The 5,668-nt window shown below is 46.0% G+C and overlaps 1 annotated feature.

Annotated features, from left to right (window-relative positions):
* Positions 5,609-5,668: an enhancer, noted in NCBI's record as "active region_28412". NCBI's record gives its function as "activates an Ori minimal core promoter by ATAC-STARR-seq in GM12878 lymphoblastoid cells {active_cell/tissue: GM12878}" and the evidence as "EXISTENCE:reporter gene assay evidence [ECO:0000049][PMID:35858748]".

Here is a 5,668-nt window from a genome sequence, read left to right on the forward strand (position 1 = left end):
GTAGGATGACCAGCACAATGAACTGCGTTTGGATGGCCCCCAGGGGTCTGAGCAAGAAGCGGGGCAGCCATGACCACAAGGGACAGTGGCCCTGAGAACTGGACTGTGTAAGCCTGGGGGCTTTCTGTAACATATAAGGGAGGTGGAGGGACTGCTTGTCGACCATGGACATGGGTGGGCAAACTGGTTTTATTATGGAAAGTGTGCAATGGTCCTTGCATCCCCGGAGCTGTGGAGTAAGCCTCAGGCCTGTTACTGATGAGTGGGGTGAACAGGATTAACACCCTTGGTTTGAAGTGGAGTGGGAATCTACCCCGGGGCATCAGACTAGACTCAGACACCATCAGATGCACCAGGAAGGAAGGATGCACCATAGGAAGGCTGGGAGGGAGGTTGGCAAGAGGTGGCAGGGGCCCTGAATGTCACACTAATGAGCTAATCCTGACAGCACTGGGGGAGCCAGTGATGATGAAAGCGGGAAAAGGCCTGGCCTGACATGGGCCAGGTGCACCTCCTGGAGTGTGGCCCTTGGGAGGACACTTCCACAGCAGGGTGTGGCCACTCAGGCTGCCTGGTCGTCCACACAATGGCTGCTGTCTACTGGGGGCTTTCTCTTCCAGACTCTATGCTAGATGCTTTACAAGTATTATTTTATTTCATTCTCACAATAATCCTATGAGGCAGATACCTGATCCATCCCCATTTAACAAATGAGGAAACTAAGCAGAGAGAAGTTAAGCTGCTTCTTAAAAGGCCCAAAGTCCCCCAGCTGGTGACAGCAGGACCATCAAGCTCCTAACTCATCTTTTCCATCAAGGCACCTGGGCCACTCGATAACACCAGAATGAAGGCTTTGAGTAATCACCTGTTCCCTACTCTCCCATTGTACAAATGGGAAAACTGAGGTGAGGGAGCTTGATCAAGGTCACTCGGTAAGCTAGACGTGGAACTGGAAGCTGGTCCAGATGTCCAGGTCAAGGCTCTCCTGACTCCTCTCAAGGGTGGCTGTGCCTGGGGATGCAGCAAACAGGTGGGATACCTGGACATGGTGCTGGCCAGAGTCCAACCCAGCACCTCCATCCTCACCCAGACCTCAGCCACCAGTACATTTGTGGGCAGAGCCCACAGGATCCTCCTGAAAACACCATTTCTTGGTCACAAGCTATTTTATGATTGAATTTTTCAAGATGTCTATTAGGAAATGTTTTATATATATATAGAACAATATTTGTAATGCATATATTCATTGCAAAACATGATAGTAAAATTAGCACCCATGAGCTCACCATCCACTTTTGGAACTAGAACTTTCCTGGTACTCTTGCATGTGTCTGGGTACCTCTTTCTTATTCTAGCCCTCACCTCCCCTACAAATGACCACAACCCAGGCTTTGGTGTTTATGATTTCCTGGCTGTTTTGTGATAGTTTTAGCACATATATTCATATTCCAAAGCCATATATTATTTACTTTTATTTGCATTTGAACTTTATAAAAAAATCATACTGTTTGATATTACAATAAAATATTCACAGTCTTCTGTAAATTACTTTTTTTCACCTAACGTTGTTTCTAAAATTCATCCATGTTGATGCCTGTAGCTTAGTTCATTCATTTTCCCTGCTGTGTAATATCTCACTGTGTAAAACACCACGTATTATCTATTCTTTTGCTATTAGGCATTTGGTTTGCTTCTAGTATTTTGCTATCATGAAACGCTACTATGAACATTCTTGGTCATGCCTCCCAGGGCGCATGGAAGAGATTCTCAAAGACATACCTAGGAGTGGGGTTGCTGGATCATATGACGTGTGCGTATCGAACCTTACAAGTTAAAGCCAGATCAGGAAGGGCTCCCACCTTCATTGTGTGGTTCCCTGGCTCTTCCACCTTGTGATCTCTCTCTAGCGCCCCCTGTTGGCAGAGGCTAAGAGATCGTCAGCAGGCCAAGCAGAATATTAGTGTCCCAGCTGTCATCATAAAAGGCAAATTTAGAGGGGATAGGGTTAGAGATGAGAGCCATAGCACCTAATTTAGAAATATGTGATCACCCCACCAGTGAGTAAAAAAAACTGGGCCAATGTGGCCTGAAGGTCGCCAGCTTAAAACCTCTGCAATGTGGCCTGATTTCTTACTGATCTCCACTTTGTACCCTCTGCTCTTGCCACAGGGAATGTCTCCTCCTTCCCTAAATGTGGTGCTCTTCCACGCCCATTTATCCTTTTCTCTCAATCTCAATTTTCTTTCCCACCTGGCACACTTTGCTCCCTGTTCAAGTCCTTCCTGTTGCTGAAACCCCATTTCAAATGCTGCTTCCTTCGTCATTTTTTTCTGATCTCTCCAGCTGGAGGTAATAAAGATATCCTTCTCTTGAGTTCCCCAGCTCCATATCTACCCTCTCTCTGGGCAACAAGCAGTGTTCACTTAGCATCACTGTTGTTTGGTCTATGGCTCATCTCCTCAATCAGAATTTTATTTTAAGAAAAGCAATGCAAGTAAGGGCATAGAGGAAATAATCACTCATATCACATCGCTGACACTGATACAACTTTTAATATATCCCTTTCCAGTTTCCCTGTGCACATACATTGGTATATGTAGTGCACATGTAATGTTGTATCTAATTTTTTAAAATATAAATGGGATCTCTCTGTGACACCCATGCTGGAGTGCAGTGGCAGGATTATGGCTCCCTGCAGCCCAATCGCCTGAGTTGAAGTGATCCTCCTGCCTCAGTCTCCTGATTAGCTGAGACTACAGGCATGCACTACCATGCCCAGCTTTTTTTTTTCCCCCCATTATTTTGTAGAGAGGAGTTCTTGCTATATTGCTTAGGCTGGTCTTGAACTCCTGGCCTCAAGCAATCCTCCTGCCTTGGCCTCCCTAAATGCTGGTATTACAAGTATGAGCTACTGTGCCCAGCCTCCCAGCCTGTTTTTCTTTTTCTCCCTTTATTAGGTCAAACTATTTTTTTCCTATGTTGCTTCATAACATCACAATTGTTAATGGTTATCCACTCTTCCATTGTATGTTAGTAATAGTTATAAGTGACAGAAACTCAACCTAAAAGAGCTTAGGCAAAAGGGATCTTTGTGCAGAGGCTGCTGGGGCATCTTGCAGAAACCAAGGTTAGAAATGTTGGGCTGCGGGGACCTGGAACCTGGGTGCAGATGCCTGAGGCACTGGTGCTTGCCTTGGCTTCATATTTTCCCCTCTTCTTCAGCAGACTGGCTTCCTCTGCTTTTCCTCTCCATGTGGCAGAAAATACCCACTGACCATACCCAAGCTTTACATGTGACAACACAGCCACCCAAACAGAGACTAACCCTATTTTTCAGGAGCTGGCTCCTCCTGTGGAGCAAGGGGGCAGGGTCAGATTCCACTAATGTGGTGATCTTTAAAGGACCAGGTAGCCTGTGTAGGAAGGGGATCCTGGGTTTTAGACTGCTTCCAAATAACTGCTACTGTAGTCATCTCGTGTATTAGCACATAAACCTCTCCTTAACTTGAATTATTTTCTTTGGACCAATTCTTGGAAGGGGGATGACTGGGTCATAAAGTTGGAACATTTTTGTGATGTTTGATATTATTGCCAAATTGATTTCAAGTAGTTATTCAACTTCACTCCCACCCGACAGCATTGTGCAAGAGAGCCTTTCGTTGTGCCATTGAGAGCACGGGGCATTATGGCTTGAAATAGATTTTTTTTATTATTTTAATAATCGTAAAAAGATATCTCGTAATTTTTATTAGCATTTTTCTGGTTACTAGTAAGGCTGAAGACTTTCTCATATATTTGTTTTATTGGAGTACGTTCCCTTTTGTGAATTGTCTTTTCCTGGCTTTGCCCAGTTATCGAGTGAACTGTTAATCCTGTTCAGATTTAATTGCCCCTTCCTTTTGTGTGTGCATTGCACTTTCTCTATCTTCCTTTCAGGGTATGAATAGTGGCCTATCTTGTATTGTAGTTATTTGTGTCTGTGTCTGATCTTTCTTACTGGACTGTGAGCTCCTGGTGGGCAGAGCCAGGCCTGGGCTCCAGCCTAGCATGGAGCCTTGTTCTAGTAAAGTGCTCAGTGATGGTTAATTGGGTAAAATAAGCATATGGTTTCAGTCTGCATGATGCCGAAGTGAGTGTTCAGCCTGAGGGGTGCTGCATATAGGCTGCGAGGATGTAAGAGCCTGGACCTCATTCATTCAGTCATTCAGCAAATAGTAACTGAAGATCTATTGTGTGCTGGGGTCTAGGAGGGCATCGATGAACAAGCCTCCCTGGAGCTTACAGGACAGTGGAGGTGGGAGAATTCAACAACTATTGCACAGCTACAGACAAATCCTACTTATCCCAAAGAGTTCCGGAGAGGTCTATGAATTCTGATGGAGAGGAGAACAAATCTAACATTGTCTAGGGAAGTCATTGGCAAACCTTTTCTGTAAAAGGCTAAATAGTAAGTATTTTAGGCCTTGTGGGCCACATACAGACTATGTCACATAGCCTTCCTTGTGGCTTTCTTTCCTTTTTTTAAAAAAAAATAGTTCTTTAAAAATATCTTTAAACTTCCTAGCTAAGGAGCTATGCAAAAACAGCTGAGGGCCTGATTGGATCTGTAGGCTGTAGTTTGCCAACCCTTGTCTAGCCCCTAGAGTCATAGAACATCAGGGCTGGAAGGGTCAACTCCCTCATTATTGCACAGGTGGGGAAACTGAGTCCCAGAGGGCGGAAGCAGTGTGTTGGGTCCCCTTGCTGATACCCGTGCTGAATCAGGCAGTTGAGGACTTTGCCTGGGTCCTGGCACAGTCCACTCTGTTTGTCTCTTGGAGCAACCTACTCTGGCAGGTTTGTGCCTTGGCTGGCACAGGAGGTTAGGAAGTGGTCGGTTCCCAGAGCACAAGGCTGCCTCCCCAAGGGCTGGTTCCTATCCCTTCCAGCATGGCAATTCTTTGGCCCCATGGCCTCCTGTTGAATTGGGGTTGGGGGTGACAGAAAACATGGAGCAGCAGCATTATTAATTAATGCTTCTGTGTCCCAAGGCTGAGAATTTTGTCATGTGTAGAAGCATTTCCCGTATTAAAGTTGATTTTTACAGTAAAGGTGATATTCTTTTTCAACTGAATCATGTATGGGAGAGTAAATACTAAAAATAATTGCTTCCTCTCTCCCAGGCTCTCTCTCCTGACCAAACACACACTCAGCAACAGACAGGACCCAAAGCTGCTTGTTCCATCTCTGGAGGCTTCCATGGGTGCAGGGACTGAAGGGACAATGTCAGCTCCCCATCCCTCCCCTCACTGTGCAAAGGGAAGCAGGTCAGAGAGCACCTCCTACTTAGCTTCAGCCGGGGGTCCCTCCAGGGCTGCCATCTCTGCTCTTAGCAGGCTGTTCTCCACAAAGAACAGCCACTGCCACTCCCCACCCCAAAACTGTGTCCTTAACATCTCTCACCACGGGAATGTCTTGAAACCCCAGCCAGGATGGGAAAACTTGCAAGCAAGGAGGCAGGATTTGATTGATAACCAGATCTTTAGCTAGAGGTCTGCCAGCAGTGTGACCTTGGCAAGTCTCTGCTCCTCTCTGGGTCTCAGTCTCCCCTTTGACACTAAGGGAGGACAGATCTTACTGTTCCTTAGAATGTTAGTTTCTGGCAGCCTGTGATGTGGTTGGCGTGGGG

Source organism: Homo sapiens, chromosome 9, assembly GCF_000001405.40.
Source record: "Homo sapiens chromosome 9, GRCh38.p14 Primary Assembly".
In the NCBI taxonomy this organism is placed as follows: domain Eukaryota; kingdom Metazoa; phylum Chordata; class Mammalia; order Primates; family Hominidae; genus Homo; species Homo sapiens.